Here is a 16,250-nt window from a genome sequence, read left to right as displayed (position 1 = left end):
AGATCTGGAATTTGGGTGTCATGAGAAGAAAGAAGACAATAGATACCATAAATTTAAGGGCACTTGAAAAAATGTCTGGTTATAAACAAGTGAAGAATTCTGCTAGGAATCAAGTTGGGCAATTTAGTTCTTTCTTCTGTAAGGCACAAAGAATGTTAGAATTACAAAGGCAATAAATCATCCTTGGAAACTGAACCACAGTAGAATTCCTCCGTAAGTGTACACACAGTAAGCTCCCTTATAGACAGATTTTTTTTTTAACGTTAAAACTGCTGAAGGTCTTTTGTTAGTTAGTTTGTCAGATGGTTGGTGGGTGATTAAGTGAGTTATATGCTAAATAATGATCTTGAGTCACAACAAACTTTGACAGGCTTTCCCAGTAATCAATAATCAAATATTAAAATGCTTCAACAAACATTTATGCATTGTATACATGAAATACATTGCTACTAATTTTGTAAATAGTGAATTATCTTCTAGAGTGATTAGAATAAGAAAAGATGTATCTTATATTTACCTTCATTTTTACCATTTTCAACATTTCTTTCTGTGTGTAGATCCAGGTTTCTGTCTGATGTATTTCTTTTGCCTAAAGAACTTCCTTTAAGTTCTCTTATAGTGAAAGTTGGCTGATAATAAATTCTCTTTGTTTTTCTTACGTGTAAAGTCCTCATTCTTTATTTTTTCAGTAGTATATTAACTGGGCATTGATTTCTGGAGATGACCACATCTGGCTAATTTTTTTCAATTTTTTGTAGAGACTGGATCTTGCTATATTGCCTAGACTGATCTCAAACTCCTGGGGCTTAAGCAATCCTCCCACCTCAGCCTCTCACAGTGCTGCGATTAAGGGTGTGAGCCGTGGTGCTTGGTTGTGGCTTGGATAGCTTCTAATAAGAAGTCTGTTGCAATTCTTATTTTTGTTTCTCCATGTGTATGTCTTTTTACTTCTGGCTGCTTCAAGATTTTATCTTTATCTTTGGTTTTCAACAGTTTGAATACAATGTCACTAGGCCCTTCCTTCCTTCCTTCCTTCCTTCCTTCCTTCCTTCCTTCCTTTCCTTCCTCCCTTCCTCCCTCCTCCCTTCCTTCTTTCCTTCCTTCCTTTCTTCTTTCCTTCGTAATATTTATTCTTCTGAATGCTCTGAGCTTCTTGGATCTGTTATTTGAAGTCTTTTGTGACTTGGGGGAAACACTCAGCCATTATCTTTTCAAATATTTATTTGTTCTCTCCATTCTCTCTCTTTTCTCCTTCTGGGATTCCAGTTGCTCATATATTAGACCATATGACATTGCCCCACAGTTTTTGAATTCTCTGGCAGTTTTTTTTTTCTTTACTTTTTGTTTGAATCATTTCTTTTGATTGATCTTTACTTTTGTTACTACATATTTTTTGTTTCTGGCCATTTCTATATCATTCTCTCTTACAGTTTCCATTTCTCTGACAAAAATCCCTATATTTTCTTGAATGTTATCCACCTTTTACACTAGAATCTTTAACTATATTTTTATAGTTTGTTTGTTTTTAAATTCTCTACCTGAAGGCTCTAATGTCTTGGGCACATGTGAGTCTGGTTCTCTTGATTGCATTGTTTTTTGACAGAAAGTTGCTTTGTCTTGCATTTTTGTATGTCTCATAATTTTTGGTTGAATACTGAGGTATATAGTATTTATATCCAGAATTAGGCACACTCCTTTTATACTACACATTTAATGCAAGGAATTGACTCAGATAATGGGGTTTGGGTTGTGTTAGTGCTATATTTACCCCTAGCACACCACTGGCCTCAGATTTCTCTAGCATTATCTTGTGCTTTGGGTAGGGATTGGGTTTTCGGAGAATGTTTTTAATGTTCTTTTCAACCCTTGACTTTAGTCTTTTTCTGTGAGTCTAAACCTCAGAGAAGGTTTCCCTTCATCTTCTTTACTCTTTCCCATTGATAGACTGACACAACTTATTCAGTGCTAGCTAGCGTGGTAGTAGTAGGTGGAAACATTCTGTTTCTTTCTTTATCCTCAGTCTTGGTCAAGACCTGTCTTTTTGTGTCTCACAGGTATGTCTTCCTCAATGATTCTGCCTCTTGACCAGCAGTAGTAAACTGCTAATGGTCTTGGCTAAAAGCAATTTTCTGTCCTTCCCTCAAAGATAGAAGATCTTTTTTTCTATTTCTTCTCCTAGCTCCAATGGGTCTTCACCTACATCTGAGACAGTATTTGTTGTCCTGCCCCTAGTGGCTTAAAGTGTTTGTTTCACAGAAAAGATAGGAAGAAGGATGCAGGCAGGGCTTTCTTTATCTCCCATTGCTGTTACTCTACTCAGTATCGCATTGCAAAGGAGTTCTCTTTGGTCTACTGCCTTGATCTCAGTCATTCTCATGAGCAATCAATGAGGTCCATAGAGAAGAGCCTGCCAGTGAGTACAAACTGCCTTTCTATTTGCTATTCTTAGGTATTCTATGTTAGAAGTCAGTAAACTATGGCTTGTTAGACCAATCATCTGTTTTTGCAAATAAATTTTCAGTGAAAACTTATGACAGCTACACCTAGTTATTTGCATAATGGCTATAGCTGCTTTTGTATTGTAACCACAGAGTTGAGTACTTGCCATAAGATACCCCATAGCCCACAAAGCCTAAAATATTTACTATTACTATCTGGCCTTTCAGGAATAAGTTTGCCAATCCTTGTCTTACACTTACCCTACAGTTAGGCTCTAGGAATTTATTAAAAATTTAGGTAATTTCTTTCATTTTTTTAATTTAGAAACAAATTTTATTGAAGATATGAAATACAATTCCTAAGATGTCAACTTTTCCAGAAAATTATGGCTACACAGTAATGCATTGCCTCTATCATGTTAGAATGTTCATTAGACTCAAATACAAAAACTGTGAAACAAACCACCATCCTTAAAAATTTGAGCAAAGATAGAATACCTTAGGGACAACATAGATGGACTTGCAGAGGATGGGCTATTTTACTTCAAAGCAACATTAAAAGAAACAAAGAGCACAAATGCTTGGGTTTTCAGGCATACGCATTGCCCACTTGTCTGGTGGTCTCCTTGTTTTCCCATGCTTTACCCCAGGTGAGCTCACTTACTCATCTCTTAATGAAGCCACCTGTCTCTTCTTAGTTTTCAGGTAGTTTGTTGCCCTTATTAACTCAACTCTCTGATGCATTCAAGAAAAGTTACTATATCTATAGTTCTCAGAGGTCAGGAAAAAAAAAGAAAGAGTTACGATTCTGTATAGTTGCTGGCATTTGTGGATTTTTTTTTTATTGGTGTTGGTTTAGGAGTGATGCTTTTTCCAATTTTCAACATTCTCAGAGAAGCCCCTCAATATGCATTTAATATGATATGTAGTTTTTAAAACTTTAATCATTAGAAATTTGGTAACCAATATTTAGTACAGATAAGTCATAATTAGGTATACCATGGGAAGTATCTCTAAAATTTGAGGACAAGTCTAGAATGTGACACAACATAAAGCTCATGTAAAAATGGAGAAGATTTAGTCTTTGAGGGAAAAAAGGATTATATAGCATTGTAAGCTTAGTAGACTACTGGATTAAAGGACAGACCCCTTAATATGGGCGGACATGGGCTATAATCCCAAATCCGGGTTCTTCCACTTTACTTTCCTAGCCATGTTATAAAGCATCTTCTTTTTCATGAGGATGTTGTAAAGATTATAAGACTATGCTCAAAAAAGGTAACTACCAGAAATAAAAATCTTCCTAAATACCAAAAGAAATGCCAAAGAAAACAATTCTACCTAGAGAAAGTGTGCATATAAATATGCTTGTATATACATAAATATATGGACAGAATAAATATAACGTAAAACCACATGACAGACCCGATGTCATAGGGCAGACTCCAAAGCTGAGGTTCAGCCCAGGAGGCCTTGGCTTTGTGCAGGAAGGAATTCAAGAGCAAGCCGACAGAGTAAATTGAAAGTTTACTAAGAAAGTAAAGGAAAAAAGGGGCTTCTCCATAGGTAGAGCAGCCCCAAGGGCTGGTAGCTGGCTATTTTTATGGTTATTTCTTGATCACACACTAAACAAGAAGTGGATTATTCATGAGTTTTCTGGGAAAGGGGCTGGGAATTCCCAGAACTGAGGGTTTCTCCCGCCTCTCCTCTTTTAGACCATATAGGGTAACTTCCCACATGAGCATGGCATTTGTAAACTCTCGTGGTACTGGTGGCAATTTCCTTTAGTATGCTAATATATTATAATTAGTGTATTATGAGCAGTGAGGATGACCAGAGGTGCTTTCATAGTCATTTTGATTTGGGGAAGTTATGGCCAGCTTCTTTACCACATCGTTTTATCAGCAGGGTCTTTGTGACTGTGATCTTCTAAAAGAAGTCCTGCCAAACTCCTATCTCACTGAGACCAAACGAATTGTCTGTTTGATTAAATGTAAGGAGAATTTCATGCCTTTGAAAAATTCAGATTGGCTTGCAAAGCAAAATAAAACTCTGGTCTGTGTTTATGAAAATATTCAAAACAAGGAGACTCAGAAAGATGATGATTCAGAGAAGATGATGGCAAATAAAAATGTAAATAAGTGAATAAATAAATAGCAGGAATCACAATTTTGACTTCAGACAAGGCATAATTTAGGCCAAAAGACCTAAATTAAGACCAAAAAACGGATATTTTGTAATGCTAAAGTCTAAAATGTATAATGAAAATGGTGCTAATATATTTAAAATAATATATAACATGAAATAAAATATAAATAGATAAAATAATATAGCAGCTACTTGATATAGCAGAAACTGGAAGAGGTAAATTAAGAAAAAGATAACAGACATAAACTAATAATAATAGACCAACACGCACACATCAAACCTAGAAAAATCAAATGGGAAAAATTAGAAAAGATGTCAAAGTTCAAAATAACATAATCAATAAATTAGATCATATAAAATTATATTAAACTCTCTAGCACAGTATATGAGAACTTGCCTTATTTTCAAATGGACATGGAATATTTGTGAAAATTGCCTATACGTAAGTCCACAAAGAAAGCCTTGATAAAGATGAAAAAATAGGGGTCTGTTCCAAGATGGCCGAATAGGAACAGCTCTGGTCTGCAGCTCCCAGTGTGATCAACGCAGAAGATGGCTGATTTCTGCATTTCCAACTGAGGTACCTGGTTCATCTCATTGGGACTGGTTGGACAGTGGGTGTAGCCCACAGAGGGTGAGCCGAAGCACGGTAGGGCATCGCCTCACCCAGGAAGCACAAGGGGTCTGGGAATTCCCTTTCCTAGCCAAGGGAAGACATGACAGACTGTACCGGGAAAATCGAGACACTCTCACCTTAATACTGTGCTTTTCCAATGGTCTTAGCAAATGGTACACCAGGAGATTATATCCTGCACCTGGCTCAGTGGGTCCTATGCCCATGGAGCCTTGCTCACTGCTAGTGCAGCAGTCCCAGATCGAACTGCAAGGCAGCAGCCAGGCTGGGGGAGGGGCATCCACCATTGCTGAGGCTTGACTAGGTAAAAAAAGCGACCGGGAAGCTCGAACTAGATGGAGCCCACCGCAGCTCAATGAGGCCTGCCTGCCTCTGTAGACTCCACTTCTAGGGGCAGGGCATAGCTGAACAAAAGGCACCAGAAACTTCTGCAGACTTAAACGTCCCTGTCTGACAGCCCTGAAGAAAGCAGTAGTTATCCCAGGATGGTGGACAGACTGCCTCCTCAAGTGGGTCCCTGATCCCCGTGTAGCCTAACTGGGAGACACCTTCCAGTAGGGGCTGACTGACACCTCATACAGGCAGGTGCCCCTCTGAGACAAAGCTTCCAGAGGAAGGATCAGGCAGCAATAATTGCTTTTCTGCAATATCTGCTGTTCTGCAGCCTCCACTGGCAATACCCAGGCAAACAGGGTCTTGAGTGGACCTCCAGCAAACACCAACAGACCTGCAGCTGAGGGACCTGACTGTGAGAAGGAAAACTAACAAACAGAAAGGAATAGCATCAACATCAACAAAAAGGACACCCACACGAAAACCCCATCTGTAGGTCACATCATCAAAGACCAAAGGTAGATAAAACCACAAAGATGGGGAGAAACTAGAGCAGAAAAGCTGAAAATTCTAAAAACCAAGCACCTTTTCTCCTCCAAAGGATTGCAGCTCCTCACCAGCAATGGAACAAAGCTGGACAGGGAATGACTTTGACGAGCTGACAGAAGTAGGCTTCAGAAAGTCAGTAATAACAAACTTCTCTGAGCTAAAGGAGGATGTTCGAACCCATCACAAGGAAGCTAAAAACCTTGAAAAAAGATTAGATGAATGGCTAACTAGAATAAACAGTGGAGAGAAGACTTTAAATGACCTAATGGAGCTGAAAACCATGGCATGAGAACTATGTGATGCATACACAAGCTCCAGTAGCTGATTCAATCCAGTGGAAGAAAGGGTGTCAGTGATTGAAGATCAAATGAATGAAATGAAGTTAGAAGAGAAGTTTAGAGAAAAAAGAGTAAAGAGAAATAGACAAAGCCTCCAAAAATTATGGGACTATGTGAAAAGACCAAATCTACGTTTGATTGGTGTACCTGAATGTGACAGGGAGAATGGAACCAAGCTGGAAAACACTCTTCAGGATGTTATCCAGGAGAACTTCCCCAACCTAGCAAGGCAGGCCAACATTGAAATTCAGGAAATACAGAGAACACTACAAAGATACTCCTCGAGAAGAGCAACCCCAAGACACATAATTGTCAGGTGCAACAAGGTTCAAATGAAGGAAAAAATGTTAAGGGCAGCCAGAGAGAAAGGTCGGGTTACCCACAAAAGGAAGCCCATCAGACTAAAAGCAGATCTCTCAGCAGAAACTCTACACGCCAGAAGAGAGTGGGAGCCAATATTCAACATTCTTAAAGAAAAGAATTTTCATATCCAGCCAAACTAAGCTTCATAAGTGAAGGAGAAATAAAATCCTTTACAGACAAGGAAATGCTGAGAGATTTTTGTCACCACTAGGCCTCCCTTACAAGAGCTCCTGAAGGAAGCACTAAACATGGAAAGGAACAACTGGTACCAGCCACTGCAAAAACATGCCAAATTGTAAAGACCATCGATGCTAGAAAGAAACTGCATCAACTAACAGGCAAAATAACCAGCTAATATCATAATGACAGGATCAAATTCACACATAACAACATTAACCTTAAATGTAAATGGGCTAAATGCCCCAATTAAAAGACACAGACTGGCAAATTGGATAAAGAGTCAAGACCCATCCATGTGCTGTGTTCAGGAGACCCGTCTCATGTGCAGAGACACACATAGGCTCAAAATTAAGGAATGGAGGAAGATCTACCAAGCAAATGTAAATCAAAAAAAAGCAGAGGTTGCAATCCTAGTCTCTGATAAAACACACTTTAAACCAACAAAGATCAAAAGAGACAAAGAAGGCCACTACATAATTGTAAAGGGATCAATTCAACAAGAAGAGCTAACTATCCTAAATATATATGCACCCAATGCAGGAGAATCCAGATTCATAAAGCAAGACCTTAGAGACCTACAAAGAAACTTAGACTCCCACACAATAATAATGCGAGACTTTAATACCCCACTGTCAATATTAGACAGATCAACGAGCCAGAAGGTTAACACGGATATCCAGGACCTGAACTCACTCTGCACCAAGCAGACCTACTAGACATCTACAGATCTCTCCACCCCAAATCAACAGAATATACATTCTTCTCAGCACCACATCGCACTTATTGCAAAATTGACCACATAGTTGGAAGTAAGGCACTCCTCAGCAAATATAAAAGAACAGAAATCACAACAAACTGTCTCTCAGACCACAGTGCAATCAAACTAGAACTCAGGATTAAGAAACTCACTCAAAACTGCACAACTACATGGAAACTGAACAACCTGCTCCTGCATTATTTACTGGGTAAATAATGAAATGAAGACAGAAAAAAAGATGTTTTTTGAAACCAATGAGAACAAAGACACAACGACACAACATACCAGAATCTCTGGGACACATTTAAAGCAGTGTGTACAGGGAAACTTATAGCACTAAATGCCCACAAGAGAAAGCAGGAAAGATCTAAAATCAATACCCTAACATCATAATTAAAAGAACTAGAGAAGCAAGAGCAAACACATTCAAAAGCCTGCAGAAGGCAAGAAATAACTAAGATGAGAGCAGAACTGAAGGAGATAGAGACACAAAAAAACCCTTCAAAAATTTAATGAATCCAGAAGCTGTTTTTTTGAAAAGCTCAACAAAATAGATAGTACACTAGCAAGACTAATAAAGGAGAAGAGAGAAGAATCAAATAGATGCGATAAAAAATGATAAAGGGGATATCACCACTGATCCCACAGAAATACAAACTATCATCAGAGAATACTATAAACACCTCTACGCAAATAAACTAGAAAATCAAGAAGAAATGAATAAATTCCTGGACACATACACCTTCCCAAGACTAAACCAAGAAGAAGTTGAATCCCTGAATAGACCAATAACAGGCTCTAAAAATGAGGCAATAATTAATAGCCTACCAACTAAAAAAAGTCCAGGTCCAGATGGATTCACAGCCGAATTCTACCAGAGGTACAAAGAGGAGATGGTACCATTCCTTCTGAAACTATTCCAATCAATAGAAAAAGAGAGAATCCTCCCTAACTCATTTTATGAGGCCAGCATCATCCTGATACCAAAACCTGGCAGAGGCACAACAAAAAAAGAGTATTTTAGACCAATATCCCTGATGATCATCAATGGGAAAATCCTCAATAAAATACCGGCAAACCGAATCCAGCAGCACATCAAAAGGCTTATCCACCACGATCAAGTCGCCTTCATCCCTGGGATGCAAGGCTGGTGCAACATACGCAAACCAATAAACGTAATCCGTCACATAAACAGAACCAAAGACAAAAACCACATGATTATCTCAATAGATGCAGAAAAGGCCTTCGACAAATTCAACAGCCCTTCATGCTAAAAACTCTCAATATGTTAGGTATTGATGGAACATATCTCAAAATAATAAGAGCTATTTATGACAAACCCACAGCCAATATCATACTGAATGGGCAAAAACTGGAAGCATTCCCTTTGAAAACTGGCACAAGACAGGGATGCCCTCTCTCACCACTCCTATTCAACATAGTGTTGGAAGTTCTGGCCAGGGCAATCAGGCAAGAGAAAGAAATAAAGCATATTCAATTAGGAAAAGAGGAAGTCAAATTGTCCCTGTTTGCAGATGACATGATTGCATATTTAGAAAACCCCATCGTCTCAGCCCAAAATCTCCTTAAGCTGATAAGCAACTTCAGCAAAGTCTCAGGATACAAAATCAATGTGCAAAAATCACAAGCATTCCTATACACCAATAACAGACAAAGAGAGAGCCAAATCATGAGTGAACTCCCATTCACAATTGCAACAAAGAGAATAAAATACCTAGGAATCCAACTTACAAGGGATGTGAAGGACCTCTTCAAGAACTGCAAACCACCGCTCAACGAAATAAAAGAGGACACAAACAAATGGAAGAACATTCCATGCTTATGGAATCAATATCGTGAAAATGGCCATACTGTCCAAGGTAATTTATAGATTCAATGCCATCCCCATCAAGCTACCAATGACTTTCTTCACAGAATTGGAAAAAACCACCTTAAAGTTCATATGGAACCAAAAAAGAGCCTTCATTGCCAAGACAATCTTAAACCAAAAGAACAAAGCTGGAGGCATCACGCTACCTGACTTCAAACTATACTACAAGCCTACAGTAACCAAAACAGCATGGTACTGGTACCAAAACCAATGGACCAATGGAACAGAACAGAGGCCTCAGAAATAACACCACACATCTACAACCATCTGATCATTGACAAACCTGACAAAAACAAGCAATGGGGAAAGGATTCCCTATTTAATAAATGGTGCTGGGAAAACTGGCTAGCCATATGTAGAAAGCTGAAACTGGATCCCTTCCTTACACCTTATACAAAAATTAATTCAAGATGGATTAAAGACTTAAATGTTAGACCTAAAACCATAAAAGCCCTAGAAGAAAACCTAGGCAATACTATTCAGGACACAGGCATGGGCAAGGACTCAATGACTAAAACACCAAAAGCAATGGCAATGAAAGCCAAAATTGACAAATGGGATCTAATTAAACTAAAGAGCTTCTGCACAGCAAAAGAAACTGCCATCAGAGTGAACAGGCAACATACAGAATGGGAGAAAATTTTTGCAATCTACTCATCTGACAAAGGGCTCATATCCAGAATCTACAAAAACTTAAACAAATTTACAAGAAAAGATCAAACAACCCCATCAAAAAGTGAGCAAAGGATATGAACAGACACTTTTCAAAAGAAGACATTTATACAGCCAACAGACACATGAAAAAATGCTCATCATCACTGGCCATCAGAGAAATGCAAATCAAAACCACAATGAGATACCATCTCACACCGGTTAGAATGGCGATCATTAAAAAGACAGGAAACAACAGGTGCTGGAGGGGATGTGGAGAAATAGGAACACTTTTACACTGTTGGTGGGACTGTAAACTAGTTCAACCATTGTGGAAGACAGTGTGGCGATTCCTCAGGGATCTAGAACTAGAAATACCATTTGACCCAGCAATCCCATTACTGGGTATATACCCAAAGGATTATAAATCATGCTACTATGAAGACACATGCACACAAATGTTTATTGCGGCACTATTCACAATAGCAAAGACTTGGAACCAACCCAAATGTCCAACAATGATAGACTGGATTAAGAAAATGTGGCACATATACACCATGGAATACTATGCAGCCATAAGAAAGGATTCTTTCATGTCCTTTGTAGGGACACGGATGAAGCTAGAAACCATCATTCTCAGCAAACTTATCACAAGGACAGAAAACCAAACACCACATGTTCTCACTCATAGGTGGGAATTGAACAATGAGAACACTTGGACACAGGGAGGGGAACGTGACACACTGGGGCTTGTCATGGGGTGGGGGGATGGGGGAGGGATAGCATTAGGAGAAATACCTAATGTAAATGATGAGTTAATGGGTGCAGCAAACCAACATGGCGCATGTATACATACGTAACAAACCTGCACGCTGTGCACCTGTACTCTAGAACTTAAAGTATAATTTAAAAAAAAGATTAAAAAATAGTTATAATGCCATGATCAATTGAAAATATATTCACAAATTCTTTAATATTTCTATTATCTAGAGATGGAGTCTGTATTTCCTGCCCTTGAACCAGGGCAGGACTTTGTGGCTGCATTTTAAATCTCTAGCCTGTAGAACACATTTGTCCCTGAAAGCCAAGGCATTGCAATACCCCTACTTAAATGGTGTGACAGATTATCTCAGCACTTAGCATCACTTTTGCCCCTTTTACACTCTTTTCTGGTATCATGGGGCAGGAAGCCTGGGAACTACATTTCCTACAATCCCACCCCATCAGTTATAGTAGAGATAACAAATGAGAGGCACACAAGTGATATTCAAAAGATGGAAAGGCCGGGCACAGTGGCTCATGCCTGTAATTCTGGCACTATAGAAGGCTGAGGTGGGTGGATCTCTTAAGATCAGGGGTTCAAGACCAGCCTGGCCAACATGGCGACACCCCGTCTCTACTAAAACTACAAAACTTTGCCGGATGTGGTAGCGCATACCTGTAATCCCAGCTACTAGGGAGGCTGAGGCAGGAGAATTGCTTGAATCCAGTGGATGGAGGTTGCAGTGAGTCAAGATCTTGCCACTGCCCTCCAGCCTGCACAACAGAGCAAGATTCGGTCTCAAATTAAATACAGGTGGAAAGGAGGCAGAATGTATTGTTGCAATAGAAATGCTGGTGGCAGACTAGCAGCAGTTGCTAGGTTCGGCTACCTCAGACTTCATACTCCTCCGTTATTCTTCTTTTCGGGGGCTGTGCAATGACTGTGACGTCAACAGTAGCATTCTGCACTTTGCTGTAATCTATTGATTCCCTATATTAAGTTTCTTTCTGCTGGAAATATTTAACATAGTTTGGTTTCATGACTACACACTCTGACAAATACACCTGAGAACAGTCATAAGGGTGTCTTACCTAGTAAATGGAGCTTCAGCAGCCCATTCTTCCTTTACCAGAAAAGAGACAATCCAGTGTCTGGAAGTCAAAATTGCTAGGATACACTTTTTCTATTGCATGGGAGGGTTGGAGGGTAGTGTTGCTATACTAAAACTAAATCCTCCCCCACCATGATGTTCAAAGACTAAAGGGAGGTGGATATTTCTGACAGACATGCTATGTGCTTGAATGTCAGCTTATTACACACAGGGGTGAAGCAGGGTTTTATAAAGAAAGAGAACTCTGTGTGAGCCGTCCCTAGGGAGATATTATAAATCAAATCGTGATTCAGGCATTTCTGTGTCCTCAAGCCAAACACTATCTAGTAGTGTCCCAGACCCCATTTAAAGTCCTAACAAGAGAATTGTAATACCGATAATTAAATTCTGAAAGAAATGAGGTCATTGTTTTGTTGTCATAATAAAAGGATTTTGGTTTGCACAGTGTCTGGAGGAGGCACGTGTCCATGTGTTTTCAAGCTTTGTCCAGTAAAACAGTGTGCCTGTGACAATTAGTACTGACTTTTTACCAAACATATGCTTAGAAATAAGGATAATTTATTATAATAATCATAAATACAGGATTAAAGAGGAAAAAGTACTTTTTTTGTTCTATTGTATATGTTCTGTGGCAGTAGACTAGACAGCTAATAATTTAGACATCTGAGAGGACCACCTACCAGAACAGAGGGTCTTTACTCTTCTGACAAATAAACTAGTAGGTACCCAAAGATTGAGGCCCAGAAGAAAACAGAGAGAGAGGCTTTGTTTTAAAATGTACTGGGGTTTGTTTTGATCACTTATAGTAAGACGTGAGCCTGACAATGACTGTCATGAAGGAAGAAGGTGTTTGCACTCACAGTTCCCTAGAAATAGGAGGCACAGCAATGCAGGGAAGTCGCTTGTGGAAGCCAGGCAGGGGGCACAGGGGAAAAGCAGGGGTCAGCGCCTTTACTGCAGTTTTGTGGAAAGGAATGGGCAAGGCAGGAAAATAGGCTAAGCAGGTTTAGAATTGTCTTGTTGAATCATTTCAGCAGGCTCTGGGGTGTAGGAGCTGTTTGGAATTGTCTAGCACCTCGCCCTGGGCTGATTAGGGCAAGAAACTATTGGCCTGGAGTGGAAGGGTCCCACAGAGGTAGGGGGCTAGTTACAGTAGGCTTTGAATTGCTTAGTTTGCATATAAAAGAGACCCTCCCAGGTAACACTGTTTGATATCTGCAGGAATTAACTAATGCTGGGAGAGGCCATCCCTCCAGATCTGTGAGGCCCAAGATGCCAGAGCATCAGGAATACAGAAAATAAGAAAATAAAGTTCAAGTAGGTTTACAGTGAAAGTTTTTCTTGTTAGTTCCCAACTATACACCCTAGCACGAGTCCCAGAATTTCTACAGTCCTGGTTTACAGATGATACTCTCAGCAGAGGCAGAGTGACTAGGCTTCTCAATTTATTCATATGGATAATAAAGTGGCTCAAATAAAATGAATATTTATTATAAGGCCATAAAGCCATTTCACAAAAAATGAAGCAGAGGTGAATCTCCCAGGAATAGGAGCTGAGATCCAGGGAACCACTGAAGATAGAAGTTTCTCTCTCTTTGTCTCAACTGCATATAATCTTCCTCATCTATGATCATTGGCTACTGTCCACAGACAGGATCAAAATGCCCAGGGCCCAAGTCTACAGACCCATTTACTTCATAGGCCCACATCCATTTGACTAGAGACTCTGTGTCTCAGAAAATACATTTGCCTACAGGCTAGCCAACAGATTGACAGCCACCTGGATAGGTGTTGGTCCCTGGTCCAATCAGGGAAAAGGCTATGACATTAGACGAACTTGAACAGAGAGACTCATCTCTTCAGCAAGGGTGAGCATGGAGCTGACAGTGCTGTAGATAGGCCAGGCAGGCACCCTGAAACTACACCACCTCTGTTAGCTAAGAAATATAATTCTTCTTGACATTGAAGAAATTGCTAAAAATTGTGACAGGACTTGTGGCTGTTAACCTATTCAGAGGGAAAGATGGTAGTACCGAATGCTGCTCACTAAATATTCCCAGCTCTCTGCCCTCCGGCACATAGCACTCTATGGCTCCCAGTGGTTGGTGGAGGCCATGTAACTATTCTGGCCAATGAACTGAAAGCACAAACAATGTATGCCACTTTCCTGTTGAATGTTTATCTCTTGGCATGATTTCCTCTGAGCTCTCTTTGTCCCTGCCATGGTAGCATCCTCCTGATAGCGACTATTCTATCAGCCTGGGACCCAAAGCAGGGACAACACATGGGTTGTCAGAAGAACAAGAAGTCAACTTCCTTGTTAGCCACTGAGATTTGGAGTTTGTTATAGCATAACACAACCAATGCCAACTGGTTTAATAAATCCAAAAAGTTGTACTTATTAAGTAGAACCCAACAAATGCTATTAACTTTAATCATCCCTCAGTTCTGGGGAGAGCAGAGGAGACCTTATGCACTATCTTTTCTACTATTCATCTCAAATCTTTCCTAATCTATCATTTGTGGGGTAGGGTTTCACTTCCCTGCTTCCTAATTCATAAACTATCATGTTTATCATTATTTGGTCAGATTTCTGATTTTCTAGCTGATACCTCCCATTCTAATCCAAATTTGCTTTCTCCCCTCTGCCAGGGAGTTCTCATGACATGTAGCTAGGGCCTCACTTTGTGGCAATTTTATAAGCCTCTCATTAAACATTGGCACTGCCTCAGTTGCTTTCTGCACTGATTCTCCCAGGACTGGACCCCTGCCTACTCCCCAACTCAGCCAGCTTATGACTTGACCCTCTCACCTGATTTCTACCAACCTTTCCTCAGCTGATTTCTTTCTGGGGAGAGATTGGTAGAAATCAGGTGAGAGGGTCATGCCATAAGCTGGCTAACACTTTCATGCATTAATTAATACAGGAATCATAGCTATCATCTTAATCTATCACTCTCGTATCTATCTGATACTATGCATTAACGTTCTCAAAAGGCAAATTCCAACTAGAACAGTGTTTCTCAAATACCAATCAGTGGGCCAGAAGCAACAGAATTAGCTCAGTAACTCACTAGAACTCCAGGGTAGGTGCTTTAGTAGGTCTAAAAATATAAAGCAGAACATTTCTATGTTTGTTTGTTTTTATAACTTCCCCCAGGTGAGTCTGATGCACAAAAAAGTTTTGAACCCCTGGAACAGATCATTCTGTAGCTGCTTGAACTTCATAATTTGAACTATTTACCTCAACCTGGAGGCAGGCCTGGCTTTCTTGATCCCTTGTTTCAATTTTGACAATGTTCACCTTCTGCTCTGGCCAGGAGCTCCCAGGATGCCAGTAAACCAGACCTTACCACTCACCTCTGTATATAATGGCATCTCAAATTCCTTATTCACTTTTTGTACTTCTGGGTTACAAACATACTGGTGATTTTATATTATGATTTTTACAAATGGGTGAAATATGGTTTCTGGGCCTATAAAGTCAAGCACTAGATTCTAGATTCAAGGTCTCTCTACCAATTTGCCAAACCCCAGTGAAGTACTGCTTAAAGTTCTCAACTGGTCTTACCTCCTAACAATTGATAATTCACACAGCAATTGTCAAACCATCATATGAATTAACCAGTAAATCCCATTCTCTGCCAGTACTAGAGAGTTCTTTCAGAGTTTTTAGAGAGAAAGTATAGCATAATATAAGCCACAGATTCCAGAACCAGATTGCCTGACTGAAGTCCTAACTGCGCTGTTTATTAGCTGGTGATCTTGCACAAGTTACTTAGCTTGCCTCTGTCTCAGTTTTCTACTTCCTAGGCTTGTTACAAGAGTTAAAGGGACTGATACCTATAAGAAATCTTGTGCTTAGTATGTATTCAATGAACATTTAACCATTACCATGATTCTTACTTTTTAGTTATAGGCTATTTATTTACAACCACTTGTATATGAAACTTTCAACTGCACGCTTACCTTTGGGTACCTCTTGTAATTGATTCACCGGTAACTCACATGTCATTATGCTCTCTCATGCTAAAGCTCAGTCAGTAAGTAAATTGTTTCTTGGCCTCTAAGGACATGCATACCTCATTCAACTG

At 39.7% G+C, this 16,250-nt stretch overlaps 1 protein-coding gene, 1 long non-coding RNA gene and 1 other non-coding gene across 3 annotated transcripts in view, besides 1 other annotated feature; 2 read left to right on the top strand and 1 right to left on the bottom strand.

Moving 5' to 3' along the window:
* Positions 1 to 16,250, top strand: part of IGSF10 (immunoglobulin superfamily member 10) — a 187,494-nt gene that overhangs the window by 38,991 nt on the left and 132,253 nt on the right. The gene's annotated exons all lie outside the window — the stretch shown is intronic.
* Positions 1 to 16,250, bottom strand: part of LINC02066 (long intergenic non-protein coding RNA 2066) — a 105,814-nt gene that overhangs the window by 77,036 nt on the left and 12,528 nt on the right. The gene's annotated exons all lie outside the window — the stretch shown is intronic.
* Positions 757 to 957: a silencer, noted in NCBI's record as "peak4860 fragment used in MPRA reporter construct". NCBI's record gives its function as "represses an SCP1 promoter by STARR-seq MPRAs in K562 erythroleukemia cells {active_cell/tissue: K562}" and the evidence as "EXISTENCE:reporter gene assay evidence [ECO:0000049][PMID:32103011]".
* MIR5186 (microRNA 5186) lies at positions 14,940 to 15,059 on the top strand. The gene has a single exon (NR_049818.1). It is a non-coding gene; the product is annotated as a microRNA 5186 (primary transcript).

Source organism: Homo sapiens, chromosome 3, assembly GCF_000001405.40.
Source record: "Homo sapiens chromosome 3, GRCh38.p14 Primary Assembly".
Taxonomy (NCBI): Eukaryota; Metazoa; Chordata; class Mammalia; order Primates; family Hominidae; genus Homo; species Homo sapiens.
This window is presented reverse-complemented; position numbering and strand designations above follow the sequence as displayed.